Below are 14,330 nucleotides of genomic sequence, written 5' to 3'. Positions count from 1 at the left end.
TACTAAAAATAAAAAAATGAGCCAGGCGTGGTGGCAGGCACCTGTAGTCCCAGCTACTCAGAGGCTGAGGCAGGAGAACGGCAGAAACCCGGGAGGCGGAGGTTGCAGTGAGCCAAGATTGTGCCACTGCACTCCAGCCTGGGTGACAGAGCAAGACTCCGTCTCAAAAAAATAAAAAATAATAAAAAATAAATAAAATGCTAGATGGGTGTGGTGGCTCACTCCCGTAATCCTAGAACTTTGGGATGCCAAGGCAGGAGTATTGCTTGAGGTCAGGAGTTCAAAACCAGCCTGGGAAACATAGTGAGACACTGTCTCTATACAAAAAATATGAAAATTAACCAGGCATGGTGTTATGTGCCTGTAGTCCTAGCTATTTGGGAGGCCAGGGCAAGAGGATTGCTTGAGCCCAAGAGTTTGAGGCTGTAGTGAGCTATGATAACACCACTGTACTCCAGACTGGACCACAAAGGAAGACACTAAGAAAGACACTGTCACAGAAAAAAAAAAAAAAAAAAGGAAAGTGCTTCTGCTTTACTTTCACTTTCCTTCTTTCTGGTTCTTAGAGCAGCACTGTCCAAAGACTTATGTGATTTTAAAGTTTCTAGTAGCCACATTAAAAAAGTAAATAGAAACAGGTGAAATAAATTTTATTCTATTCATTTAATCCAATTATGTCCTGAATAGTAGCATGTCAGTGTGTAATTATAAAAAATTATTATGATATTTCACAGTCTTTCTTTGGTACAATGTCTTTGAAATTTAGTGTGTATTTTACACCTACAGTATACACCTCAGTTTGGACTAGCACATTTCAAATGCTCAAGAGCCACATGTGGGCAGTGGCTAGCACACTGCACAGAGCAGCTCTAGAGGGTAACAGAGGACGCCAGAGAAAGGCTGGGGTTCCTGGGTTAATCTATGGAGCAGAGCTGCCCCACTGGCTCTTAGACTATTTTAAACATTTACTTCAGAAGAAAACAACTTCTACCTTGTTAGAACTACTGTATAGGGTATTTTGTTATTACAGCTTATCATATACCTAATTAGTACACCCATTGGGACCTCACAGAAGGACCCTGCAGCTTCTCAGTTATGAAGCAACCCTTCAAAGAATGAACAGGCCAGGCACGGTGGCTCACACCTATAATTCCAGCAATTTGGGAGGCCAAGGCAGGCAAATCACCTGAGGTCAGGAGTTCAGGACCAGCCTGGGCAACATGGCGAAACCCTCTCTCTACTAAAAATACAAAAAATCAGCCGGGTATGGTGGCACACGCCTGTGATCACAGCTACTCAGAAGGCTGAGGCAAGAGAATCACTTGAACTCCAGAGGCAGAGGCTGCAGTGAGCTGAGATCACACCATTGCACTCCAGCCTGGGTGACAGAGCGAGACTCTGTCACACACACATACACACACCCAGACAAAATGAAAAGACTCATGAGTTCACATTGAATCTCATCAAAACCCCTTCCAAAACCATAGCCTAAATCTGAAAAGTTGCTACAGAAACATTCTCAGCATTGGGAAATACATCTTAGAACAAACATATCCAAGGAGAATATGTGATTCCTTAAACTTTTTCTTGTTCTATTCTTACGTTATAAACCTCTACACTTTCCAGCTAACCAGCCTACTGGGCAGCCCAGGAGGCAGGAGCCAGCTAGAGACCATCAGATCATTCAGCCTCCTAAGAAAATAAAAATGAAATCCTTTCAGGCAGTGCTTCCCAAAAAGTGAAAGCATTTTCATGAATACAATAAAAACTACTCTAATAGTTGAATAATCAAGTTGACCAGGACACACTGACTTTCCTTTTTTAAAAGGAGGGAGGGACTCAAACAAAAAGAAAGCCAAGTCTAGTCACTAACCTCATCTTTATGGACATACTGAGCCTTTGGCCAACGCTGGCCCCTGTATTGCCATATAGTTGAAAATAACCACCTCCACACAGCAAAGATCTTTAAGTAGAAACTCAACTGAAAATATCCACAGGCTGATTCAGAAGCAATTTCTGTTTCAGTCCCAAGGAGAAGTTCATAGAAGAATTTGTCAAACTAAAAACATGTAGGACAACAACAGCCTTCATTTAAAATGATCAGGTAATTAATGCAGAATAAAGATGTAAGAGATAATGGTCTAAATGACTCATTGCTTGTGTAGACTAGGAGATTTCCCCAAGTTTAAGGGCCAGGCCCTCGGTTTCATATTGGTTTCTAGCTGGAAAAGTATTGTGTTTAACTGAGAATTATGGTCTGGGGTAAATAGAATAAAGCTATGACCCATTTAGCCCACAGTGGAGCTCCACGTAGACAGAGATGTTTTACTGGCACCACTGGAAGAGCAGAAGCAGCATCTGTTCTTCCTCCCTTCAGAAATGAAATGCATTTGGCTCTCAGGAAACAAAGAATCTTGCCCTGTCACAGGAGGAATAATGCTGACATTGGTGAGCTTTGCCACTATGGATGGACTTGTGGTGATGTAAAATCACTGTGGAGGTCTTATTTAAGCTTAGAGCAACAGTGTAACATCTATTTTATGCAGTTTGAAGCTTCACAATTTAGGAACCAGCAACCTGTTAGCAAGCGTGTGCTGCGGTTGACAGCATGCGACACTCTCCCATCCAGAAAAACCAGGAGAGTTACCATCTCTCTGTTATTTACCAAATGTGCGACTTTGGCCAAGTTACTTACCTGTCCTCAACATTCATTTCTTCCTCTATCAAATGCATTGTAGCAATGGTCTTTACTGGATAGAGTTTTGTAAGCATTAAATGACAAAGAGCATGCAAAGGGGCTTGGCACAGTGCCTGGCACCTAGTGAGCATTCAGTACATGAGAACTCCTTATTCCTGTAATAGAAGGTCAGCCATCCATACGTGTTCACTCTTGCTATTAATATTATGCAGTGGCACCCACTGAAAAACTGTGATGCTCCAGCCTCACTCTCTTAGATGCTGAAAACAGTCCCAAGGATGAACAGTGGAGCTAAGGTCTATGACAGTGCCAGCTCAGTGGGGGGATGCCAGGGCTTCAGTGTAACTGTTCTAGGATGGAAGGGCATGGAGTTGTGTTAAGGGTTGACTTGTGTCCTCCCAAAAATTCATACGTTGGAGTCCTAATTCTCCCCCTAACCTCAGAAGGTGACCTTATTTGGAGATAGGGTTTTCACAGAGGTAATCAAGCTAAAATGAGGTCATTATAGCGAGCCCTAATCCAGTATGAGTGGCGTCTTTATGTAAAGGAGGAATCTGGGCACAGACACATGCACAGAGGGAGAATGCCACCTGAAGATGAAAGCAGAGATCGGGGCAAGGCTTCTGCAAGCCAAAAACACTGCCAGCCAACCACCAGAATCTAGGTCAGAGCATGGAACAGATTCGCCCTCGCAGCCCTCACAAGGAACCAACCGTGCCAGTACCTGGATCTTGGGCTTCTAGCCTCCCAAACTCTGAGACAATACATTTCTTTAGTTTCAGCCACCTGGTTTGTGGTACCCTTTGTTATGGCAGTCCTAGCAAACTAATACCAGGCAAAATCAGGCAGTGAGCAGATTCTCCATTTAAATCAGGCTGAAAAGACCTAGAAAACACGTAGCACGGCACAAATTTGACCAAATTTCTCTCTAGAACTTTAGTAAAGTCTCCTACCTCCACCCAGTGGGGTCATTGCTGATTTTTTTAAAATTATGTCTATTAAAAAAAAAAAAGGCTTAGCTTAAAATAGATTTGGCCATAGTTCCTATGTCTACAGAGAGACTTGGATTTTATTTTATTTTATATTTTTTGAGATGGAGTCTCGCTCTATCGCCCAGGCTGGAGTGCAGTGGCGTGATCTCGGCTCACTGCAAGCTCCGCTTCCCAGGTTCACGCCAGAGACTTGGATTTTAAATACTCCCATTGTGTGTATGTGCATGTATGTGTGGTGACGAAAGGAGGAGTGAGCAATTGTAAAAACTTATTATAAATGACTAAAAACTCCTTGAAAAAAATACGTTGGTAGAGTTGGTTGTTGATCCTCATGAGAGCTGTTATCTTTTATTATTATTTTTTTTTTAACAGACGGAGTTTCGCTCTGTCGCCCAGGCTGAAGTGAAGTGGTGTGATCTCAGCTCACTGCAACCTCCACCCCCTGGGTTCAAGCGATTCTCCTGCCTCAGCCTCCCGAGTAGCTGGGATTACGAGCATGCACCACCATGCCTGGCTAATTTTTGTATTTTTAGTAGAGATGGGGTTTTGCCATGTTGGCCAGGCTGGTCTCGAACTCCTGACATCAGGTGATCCACCCACCTTGGCCTCCCAAAGTGCTAGGATTACAGGTGTGAGCCACCACACCCCACCGCCAACTGTTATCTTAATAGGCAAGAAACTCAAACCTCTGTCTGAGCAGGATATGCCTGGTTCTTTAAGATTCATGGGGTGTGTGCATTTCCTTGGCTGAAAGCTACAGTAGTTAGTAGATGCTATGTAAAGGTATACCATCAATTTAATCTCTCATGGAGACTGTCACTTTAAACTGGCTGTTTTGATTTTTTTAATGGAATGTCCGCTACTTCCCTATTACAATGAAATATATAATTGGGAATAAATCTTTCGTAAAATTAAGCACACACCCTCAAAGTAAACCGTGAAGCCCTCGATCACGTTTGAGTGGCATTTCTCAAGATGTGTTACAAAGATCTTTCAACCCCATTTCCCATCCCTCAACCTCCACCCATTTCACTCAAGTCACTAAAAATTGGCATCTACAAAGAAATTCCAGAAGCCTGAGCATTTTATTAGCAAAGGGAAATCCCAGCCTTTTTGGCCTCATTTTTCATGACGACAGCTCATTTTTCCATGTGGAACCACATACTAGCTGCTGCAAATATTTAAAGAGGTAAAGAAGCCACTTTTTCAAGCTATGGTCATAAAAGATACAAATAATGATGACTGAGAACTCTGCGCTCGCTTAATAAGCATAAAAGTCAATCTATCCATTTTTAAAACTAGGATGAAAACTTTATATAGTATTCTTCTTTAAATACTCAGGGCCATGCCACAGGTACTCTCCTGGGCTCCTGAACTATTAATATTACTATTTTCTATGTCAAGGGCCATTTTTGAGACTGAGTTAACCCGCTGTGCTGCAAGCTGTCTCCCCTGATTGACCTTCTGACCTTTCCCCCTCTTCCCAACCATCCTTCCAACTCCTACCTATCCCTCAAGGCCTGCATGAAGCTCCACCTCCATAAAGCTCCCCAAATTCTCCCATTCCCAGTGATTCAGCCATCTCAAAATCTGCAGCATTTATCACCAGGCCTTATAACTTAACAACTAGTTAGCTATATCATCTTAAAGATACCTTGAGTATCTATATTCTATACTGCTTGTATTTTGCTCTAGTTATTTCCTATATGTTTTTTTCTCCTCCCACCGAGGTTTATCAACCTTTTAAAGACAACAACCATATTTGCATTTCTCCTGTATCCTATCTACTATCTAACAACTCAAGTTTAAGAACTCCCAAAATAAAGTTATAAATGCGAAGTAAAAAAGGTTATCCACCATAGAAATTCCATAATGCTGTTTATTCTCTGTGGGTTATCTGCAGGGTCCCAAATAGATTTAAGAATCAAAACCACCGGACAATGTCACTGTCTAACCACAGCCCGCAGAGTCAGGCTCATTCCCTACCAAACTCACATCTGCCTTTGACACAGTGCCAGTTGTCAAGTCTTCCGGAAACGACACTCCCATTCAATCTTTACCCAAGTGATGGTTCTCGGGTCACAGAGTGACCTGAAGGCCATCCATAGGAGGCCCCCTTGGGCCACTTTCATCCTATGTTTACTCCTGGGTGTTGCTCACAGTGGCCACAAACCAATTTGGCCACAGACCTCCCAGACACAGGCTGGCTGAAATGCGATCACACCAGTGGGTCACCTGTCTTCTTTATGCAAGCGCGAGAACCTGATCTGCTATTATCTTCTTCCTACCCCCCAGAAATACAAAGAATCCTTTCTTCTTCCTTTTCCCTCACACAAAGACAAGCAGGAATATGATGCCCAATGGTTTAAAATATTTTGAGACAGACCACACATTTCAGGTTAAAAAAAAATTATAATTTGCTTCATTCAACTGAATGTAAATGTTTGTAAGCTTGCTTTTCCTTAACAATACATATATATGCATGATACACATGTACGTGTATCAAAAACTTCAAAATCAAAGGCATACATTGAAAAACAAGCCTCTCTTCCCCAGCTCTCAGTTTCCCTGTTCGGCAGCAGCAACTGTTACCAGAGTATTCTACCCTCCAGACCGTGTAAACTTTTTGAATCCTACTTTTTATTACGGGTTGCTAATTAGGAGGAAGAAACAAATATTTACTAAGCATCTCCTGAGCACCAGGCCATAAGATTTTTGACATTCTTTTTTTGTTTGTTTTTTTGTTTTGTTTTGTTTTGAGATGGAGTTTCACTCTTGTTGCCCAGGCTGGAGTGCAATGGCGTGATCTCTTGCTCACCACAACCTCCGCCTTCTGGGTTCAAGCTATTCTCCTGCCTCAGCCTCCCAAGTAGCTGGGATTACAGGCATGCACCACCACACCCGGCTAATTTTGTATTTTTAGTACAGACGGGGTTTCTCCATGTTGGCCAGGGTGGTCTCAAACTCTCAACCTCAGGTGATCCTTCTGCCTCAGCCTCCCAAGTAGCTGGGATTACAGGTGTGAGTCACCACACCCGGCCAACATTCATTTAATGCATTTAACTGTCACCCCAGTCTTACGGGGCTAATATCATTTCCTCCACTTTTCTAGTGAGGAATCTGAGGTTCAGAAGAGTAAGAGACTTGTCCAGAGCCACAAACCTAGGTCCGAGTTTAAGTCGCTTTTAAAGCTACTCCCTAGATTGTTCAGTTTGTTTTTGTTTTTTGAGACAGGGCCTTGCTCTGTTACCCAGACTGGAGTGCAGTGGCGTGAACACAATTCACTGTAGCCTTGACCTCTTGGGCTCAAGCCTTCCTCCCACCTCAGCCTCCCGAGTAGCTGGAACCATAGGTGTGCCCCACCATAGGCGGCTAATTTTTTAATTGTTTTGTGGAGATGGGGTTTTACCATGTTTGCCCAGGCTGCTCTTGAACTCCTGGACTCAAGGAATCCTCCTGCCTCAGCCTCCCAATGTGCTGGGATTACAGGAGTGAGCCACCGTGCCAGCAGATTGCCTAGTTTCTTAAAATAGACTTTCCACCCAAAATTCCTCTTTCAGGAAACATGGGCTCTTGAATCAGACTGCCTTAGTGCAAAAACTGGTTCTAGAACGTAAAGTTCTAAGAACCCAGACAAATGACTGCATGTCCCTAAGGCCTTAGTTTCTTCGTCTGTAAAATGAGCTTAATAGTAATACCCACCACATAAGATTTGTGGCAAGATTAAATGAATTTCACATGAAAAGCTTAGTATACCTCTGGACATTTGGTTAATACTTCCTAATGGTTAATTATTATTAGCATTATTATCATATGGTTGATTAACAAACTAGGCTTTGAAATGTTTTTGTTGTTGTTGTCATTTTTTATTCCCTCCATTTAGCTGTACGGTTCTGTGCTTGGGGAAACAATTTGGATGTGGAGAGCCATTTGAAATTGTTGGGCTCCATTATACCAATTTCCTCCTCCCCAGGCTCTCCTCCCCCAGGTCTGCTTCTCAACATTTCTTCTCTTAGCACTAACTGCCAAAATCATAGCCTTTTCTGCTGCCAAATCCCAGAGCTTTTACTAGTGTTATTACAGTGGATTTTTTTAAATCATGGAAATATTTCAGTTTTTCTAACTAGATTCCAGCAACACCCTCCCTACTGCCACCAGTTTTTGATTTTTAAACCAAAAGTTTATGTGCCTATCATTCCTCTGGGCCCCTGTTCATATATATATGGAAGTCTAGACTGATGAAATTTTGCTAAAAATAATCTTAACCTATGTAAATGAAAGCTACCTAGATTCCCTTGGAATAGAAAAAGACATTTGTTAACCTGGTCACAAAATTTAGAAACCCCTATCTGCTGAATTGGGCAACATTTTCCATTTAATTGCCTTTTTCTCCTTAGCTGAAAGCCACGGGAGATATGTAGGCTGCATAACATACAGCCAGCAGACGATGAGGTTGAAGGAGGTTTCTCGGAAGTCGGATGACCAGGACTTTCACTCTGGCCAACAGCTAGTTTTCTGTCTTTGTCGAAGTCTCTTTGCACTCTATGAGTTTTATTTAATTTACCTAAAGGATAAGAAGGTAAGATCAACTTTTTTCATAACGCTTCCCAGTTCTTTCTTTAAGTGGGTCGGTATTTTACCATCATCCCATAAGCATCTCATCTAGCCTGGGTTTTATCAGGGCAGTAAGTTACATGTCATGATGCAGCCTCAGGAGATAAGCTTCAGCCAGAAGTAGGTATGCAAGTTACATATCAGCCATAAAAGACACAGCCTCCATTTATTGCAAAAATGCAGCTGTGCCAAGCTGTCAAAATATAATTCACGGCAAAGCAATAAAATCCAGGTTCATCTTTAATTACCTCGCCTGAAATGATAGCTGAACAAGCCCATTTTGAGAGTGACATACCTTGGCTTCCATCTAATTCCCTTCCATTAATTTCTCCCACTCCACAACTCTGCTCAAAGTATCTGGAATGCAGCTAATACAAGACTGGGATCATAGAAGGGTTTATGGGGTGACCTTTTAAAAAAATATTATCGTGTACAACCCCTCTGCTATGTTTTTCTCCCTCTTCTCCTGGGGGAGACTTTATTTCATAACTCTGACATCATAACTGCTTCCTCCAATCCAGAGTCTTTTATGGATTGGTTAGATAACAAATGAGTACGAGTCCCTGGAATTCGGGGGGAGGAAAGGTACGGGCAGCAGTAGATACCATTTTACCACAAAACCCTTAACAGAGAGTTGAACACGTTTCCTAAAGCCAAAGATGAACCATGCTAATATGTCATTCCTAAACCACCCGCATGAGAGAGACTAGCTTCTTCTAAAAACGACATTCTGAATCAGGATTTCTGGCAACTTTAGAAATGTTGAGGTTTTTACTGATTCTTCCTTTGAAGATGTTTAATGTGACGGTTCCTTTCTCTACAAGGCACAGATCCCCAAAATTAAAAATAAAAATAAAAAAACATTGTTTTTGAAAGCTATGCACACAAACAGCAAGGAACCTAGAGCATGCCATCTACAGAAGCTACCCTGAGCTGGGGCCAAGAGCACTTGAGTGTCTGTAGTTTATTAACCCAACAGCGCCTTATCAAGGTGGGGAGGAGCGTTTCTGCAGCTCCATGGAGAAGAAGGAACAGCCAGACTGTGAGTCACCGCATACTCACGTCACTCTTCCTGAACTTCGCTTTCAAGCTCTTCATGTTTAGTGCATTCAGCCTTCCAAAGCTCTAGAGGAGACTTTTCAACACCTAAGCAGAGAAAAAAAGGACATATGTAGGTTTCCAAATAAGGTATTCTCTCCTGATTGGATTACAACTTGGGTCATGGGAAGGAGACAGAGCAGGGTTGCGTTGGGAAGGTGGTCAGTTAACAGCTGAGGAGTGGTAAATAACATATTTCCACTTACGATATACTTCCTAGAAGCTTCTGACATTTTCAAATTAACCAAAACCTTAATTTTTTCCTTCTTATTAATATTTATTTTAATTGACAAATAAAAATTGTATATACTTTTATGGTGTAAAACATGACTTTTGAAATATGCATATATTGTAGAATGGCTAAATTGAGCTAATTAACATATGCATTGCCTCACATACTTATTATTTCACTGTGATGAGAACACTCTAAATCTACTCTCAGGAATTTTTCAAGTATACAATACACTAACTATAATTACCATGTTGTACAATAGATCTCTTCATCTATTCCTCTTAACTGAAACGCTGCATCCTTTGACCAACATCTCCCCATCCACCTCCCCCAACCCCCCACTCCCACATCCCCACCCCTGCTCCTGGTAACTTCCATTCTGTTCTCTGCTTCTCTGAACTGGACCTTCTTAGATTTCTATATCAGTGAGTTCTCAAACATTAAAAGTAGAGCAAGTCTAAGTTACTGCTTAACTGTCACTGTACAAAATGCTGTATCTCTATGTTCAAGTCATTCCTCAACATATCTTCTGTGCTGCAATCATGCCATCCACCTCCTTGTGAAAAGTGATGAGGAAAACAGTTCATATTCCAGATGCCACTCATTCCCTATTTATTTTTCTCAGTGTTTGTTCCCGTCTCCCCTCCCCAGAATGCACAGGGCAGTTAGTGAAAAATGCCAGGAACAACAAAACCTCCCTCATCAAATAGCTCATTCCTCAGGGGGCCTCTCTAAACAATGCAAGACTCTCAGGGTCTTGTGGGACTCAGCAATTCTGAGTTGAGCTGAATCTTAAGCAATCACTTCATTTAACATGGGTCTGTGGTCCCCTGGAAATGGAATGTAATTATCTTTTAGCAAGTATACATTTACATTTTTCAGGGAGGAAGGTTCTGAGTTTTCACTGGATTCTACAAGGTAGTTGCCACCCTTCAAAAGTCAAGATTGCTCATCTAGTCTAAGTGCCTCATTTCACAGAAGTAGCAACAGAGCCTCAGACAAGTTTAGAAACTTGCCTGAGTCACAAAGCCTATTCATGATGAGATTCAGAACCAGACCCTAAGGCCTGACTAGTGGCTGAATGTTTTCACTGCCCTATATAGTTTTTTTTTTTTTAATTTCAATAGTTTGGGGGGTATAGGTAGTTTTTTGATACATGAATTTCTTAGCAATGAATTCTGAGATTTTAATGCAACCAATATGTTGTCTTTTATCCCTCACCTCTCTCCCAACCTAGTCCTGACAGTCCATTGTATCACTCTGTATGTTTTTGCATCCTTATAACTTAGCTCCCACTTACAAGTGAGAACATACGGTATTTGGTTTTCCATTCCTGAGTTACTTCACTTGGAATAACGGCCTCCAGTTCCATCCAGCAATGCCCTATACAGTTTTACAACTAAAACCAAAAAGCCAAATCCTGTGCTAAAACATGTATAGACTTTATCTTTTTTTTTTTTCCTTTTTTGTGGCGAATGGGGTCTCACTATATTGCCCAGGCAGGTCACGAATTCCTGGGCTCAAGCTATCCTCTGGCCTCTCCCTCCCTAAAAGCTGGGATTACAGGCATGAGCCACTGTGCCCAGCAAACATGTACAGACTCTACCTTTTTCATTAAATTTGGAAATGTACAAGATGTGAAAACTTCGCATGTAGCTAAAAAAAAATGAAAATACACTTAGGTCAAAAAGGCAAGATAATCTATGTGAAAGTTTCCATCACATAGTAAGTGCTAAATAAATGTCACGTCAAGCCCACTGCAAGTGAGAACAGGTGACCTTTAACAGCACCATCCCAGAGGAGAACTGAGGAATAGCAGGCACACGTTTACCACAGTTAACCACTGTTTTCAGAAGCCTTGCCAGGTCCTCTCACATTCCCCCACATCCTAATTATTCTAAACAAAACTGACTTGAGAGGATGGGTGGGGAGTGCAAGCCACTGAATGCCTTCTTCATGAGCTTGTTGCTACCTCCAAAAGTCACCCAGTGACTCTCTAGCTTCCAATGTGTCTACTTTCATTCTTGCTGCTGCCATTGACTAGGGCCCTTGGATAAATGGTGTGAAAATCCAGTCATCATGAAGCACTTTGATGACATGAATCTGGAGGCCTCATTGTGACTGCAGCCTCTCCATGGCCCCTTTCAATCTTCCCAGCCTCAGCGGGAGTGACAGATGCATGTTGCCTTGGAAACGACACACACCATAATTATACATTGTTAACTGCCAAGCATTTAGTCACAGAAAAGGCTGGGCTGGTACCTGAATAGCAAGTGCACATTCCAGGGCAGTGTTTCTCAAAGTCAGCCCCTAGTTAATCCACATCAGAAGGACCTGGGGACTAAATGCAATCTTTTAGCCCCTGTCCTATTAAAACTGAATCTCAAGGGGTAGAGCCCAGGAACTTCCTTGGTTGAATCTTCTGCACACTGAAGTTAGAGAACCTAGAACTGATGTAGGCGGAACAGGAACACACTTGTCAGAGTTGGGCTGGTTCATAAACCAAAGTTGGGTTGTTTTTTTCACGTCAAAACAGAATCACCTTTTGAGGAATCAAAGTAGAAATAACGATAAACAGATATTCCCCAACTGTCGCTGGCTAACTGTCGCTGGCTGGGCCAGGGTTTCTACGCCAACTGTTGCTAGAAAGTGGAAATCGCCGGCCGGGCACGGTGGCTCACGCCTGTAATCCCAGCACTTTGGGAGGCCGAGGCCGGCGGAACACAAGGTCAGGAAATCGAGATCATCCTGGCTAACACGGTGAAACCCCGTCTCTGCTAAAAATACAAAAAATTAGCCGGGCGTGATGGCGGGCGCCTGTAGTCCCAGCCACTCGGGAGGCTAAGGCAGGAGAATGGCGTGAACCCGGGAGGCGGAGCTTGCAGTGAGCCGATATCGCGCCACTGCACTCCACCCTGGGCGACAGAGTGAGACTCCATCTCAAAAAAAAAAAAAGGTGGGAATCGCCCTTCAAATTTAATTCCTTCCCCCTTCTTGTGGAAGTACTAATAACTAAGGAAACAGGACAAATCAGTCCAGCAGGAAAGGGAGAAAAGAAGGCCATATATTGGATAACCCAAAACTGTGCAGTTCCCCACAGCAGAGCCACTCAAAGCATTCCTTCGTTCACATATTCAGAGAGCACAAAGTCTTAGGCAACAGTGGGTAAGATTTTTGTTTGAGGTCATGGGGGTTTCGTGGGTGTTGTGTTAGTTTTTCTGTGTATTTGTCTTTGGCTTTTCTTTTTTTTTTTTAAGCATGCAGTGAAAAGTATACAAACTCTTATTTGAAGAGGATTAGATAAATAAAGTGATAATTCCAAAAGTTCCCAAGGGAAGGGATTAACCGCCAAACTGAGTGTCTTCCTAGAGTCCGTGGCTTTGGGTGTGTGAGAGCTGGGTGGCCCATGGGCATAATTCCACAATGATAAAGATAAGTGTCAAAGGAAAAGAAGTTCTGGAAATCCACACAATGGTAACTCTAGAAGCATGAACTGTAGCTGGGGTAAAGTTATTAATAGATCACTGCTTTCCTGGTATTCATGAAAGGATCTAACACCTGGAAGCCATGGCTGGCGGAAAGTAATGTGGCCCCTGGAATAACGCCAGGTGCCAGCTGTCTCAGCATCTCTTCTTCCTCAAGATGAATCATGAGTAAACGGACTCGCCTTCCTTGGGCCAACTGGGATCTTACAGTCTCATTTTCAATCCCAAACTTCTAAAGCCCAGGCTGAGCTACAACCTATGTTGAGTAAAGTGACATCTATCAGGTTAGCAAGGCCACACTAAAGGCAGTCCTTGGAAAAGCCATTAAATCAGGATGCTTACTTCAAAAGAAATACAGCAAAGCTGAATTAGCTGCACAACAGCCTAATTCGAGTATGTACCAAAAAGGATCATGCATCTATGGAAAAAGTTCTCTGAACTAAGTTCTCCCATTTCAAACAGAATAAAGCACACCTACCCACTGAGCAGAAATATTAGTCAGTTTATTACCCATTTAATTCAAAATAAGTCCCTGAAATATGGCATCCATCACTGGCCACCAATCATCACTGGCCACCACTCATCACAGAATGGATGTTACGTTGATAAATGAGGATGGAGCAAAGCAGAGATGTACATGCTTGTTTCCATCTCATTTGAAAGACTGGATGTAACATTGTTTATTATCAGTTCATTTTCCCTTTAAAAAAATAATTTAACTCCCAATCCTAGCCTGAATTTTAAAACCTTGATATTAGCCTGTACAGCTTTATCACAAACAAAAAAGTTAAACTTCTTTGAGTATTTAAAAAAAAAAACCCTTACAATGGATATGGGGTTTTCTTTTGGGTGTAATGAAAATGTTCTAAGATTTACTGCTGTAATGGCTGCACAACCTGTGAACATACTAAAAACCATTCATTTGTACACTTTCAGGAGGTGAAGTGAATGGTATATGAATGATATCTCAACAAAGCTGTTTTTTTTTTAAAAGCTTAATAATCTCTATTACATTCTCCACTCTTTAGGATTAAGAAAATTCCAGGTTAGCCAGGTACGGTGGCTCATGCCCATAATCCCAGCACTTTGGGAGGCCGAGGCGGGTGGATCATTTGAGGTCGGAAGTTCAAGACCAGCCTGACCAACATGGTGAAACCCTGTCTCTACCAAAAATACAAAATTAGCCGGGCGTGGTGGCGCATGCCTGTAAT

General features: G+C 42.2%; 1 protein-coding gene across 18 annotated transcripts in view; it reads right to left on the bottom strand.

The window, feature by feature from the left end:
• RAI14 (retinoic acid induced 14) overlaps positions 1-14,330 on the bottom strand; it is a 176,285-nt gene that overhangs the window by 136,291 nt on the left and 25,664 nt on the right. For 8 of the 18 annotated variants that reach the window (NM_015577.3, NM_001145522.2, XM_047417088.1 and 5 more), the window contains one exon: positions 9,367-9,450. In NM_015577.3, coding sequence (NP_056392.2) covers positions 9,367-9,402 — 36 coding nt within the window. In that variant the 5' untranslated portion in view covers positions 9,403-9,450. Of the gene's footprint in view, positions 1-8,073; positions 8,255-8,599; positions 8,764-9,366; positions 9,451-9,881; positions 9,939-10,108; positions 10,191-10,507; positions 10,617-11,240; positions 11,291-11,546; positions 11,819-11,896; positions 12,137-14,330 lie in introns of those variants that run through there. The other 10 variants (NM_001145525.2, XM_011514019.2, NM_001145521.2 and 7 more) reach the window with 10 other exon arrangements.

Source organism: Homo sapiens, chromosome 5 (genome assembly GCF_000001405.40).
Source record: "Homo sapiens chromosome 5, GRCh38.p14 Primary Assembly".
Lineage (NCBI taxonomy): Eukaryota > Metazoa > Chordata > Mammalia > Primates > Hominidae > Homo > Homo sapiens.
Note: the sequence above shows the minus strand (reverse complement) of the source record. Positions and strands in the feature narration are given on the sequence as shown.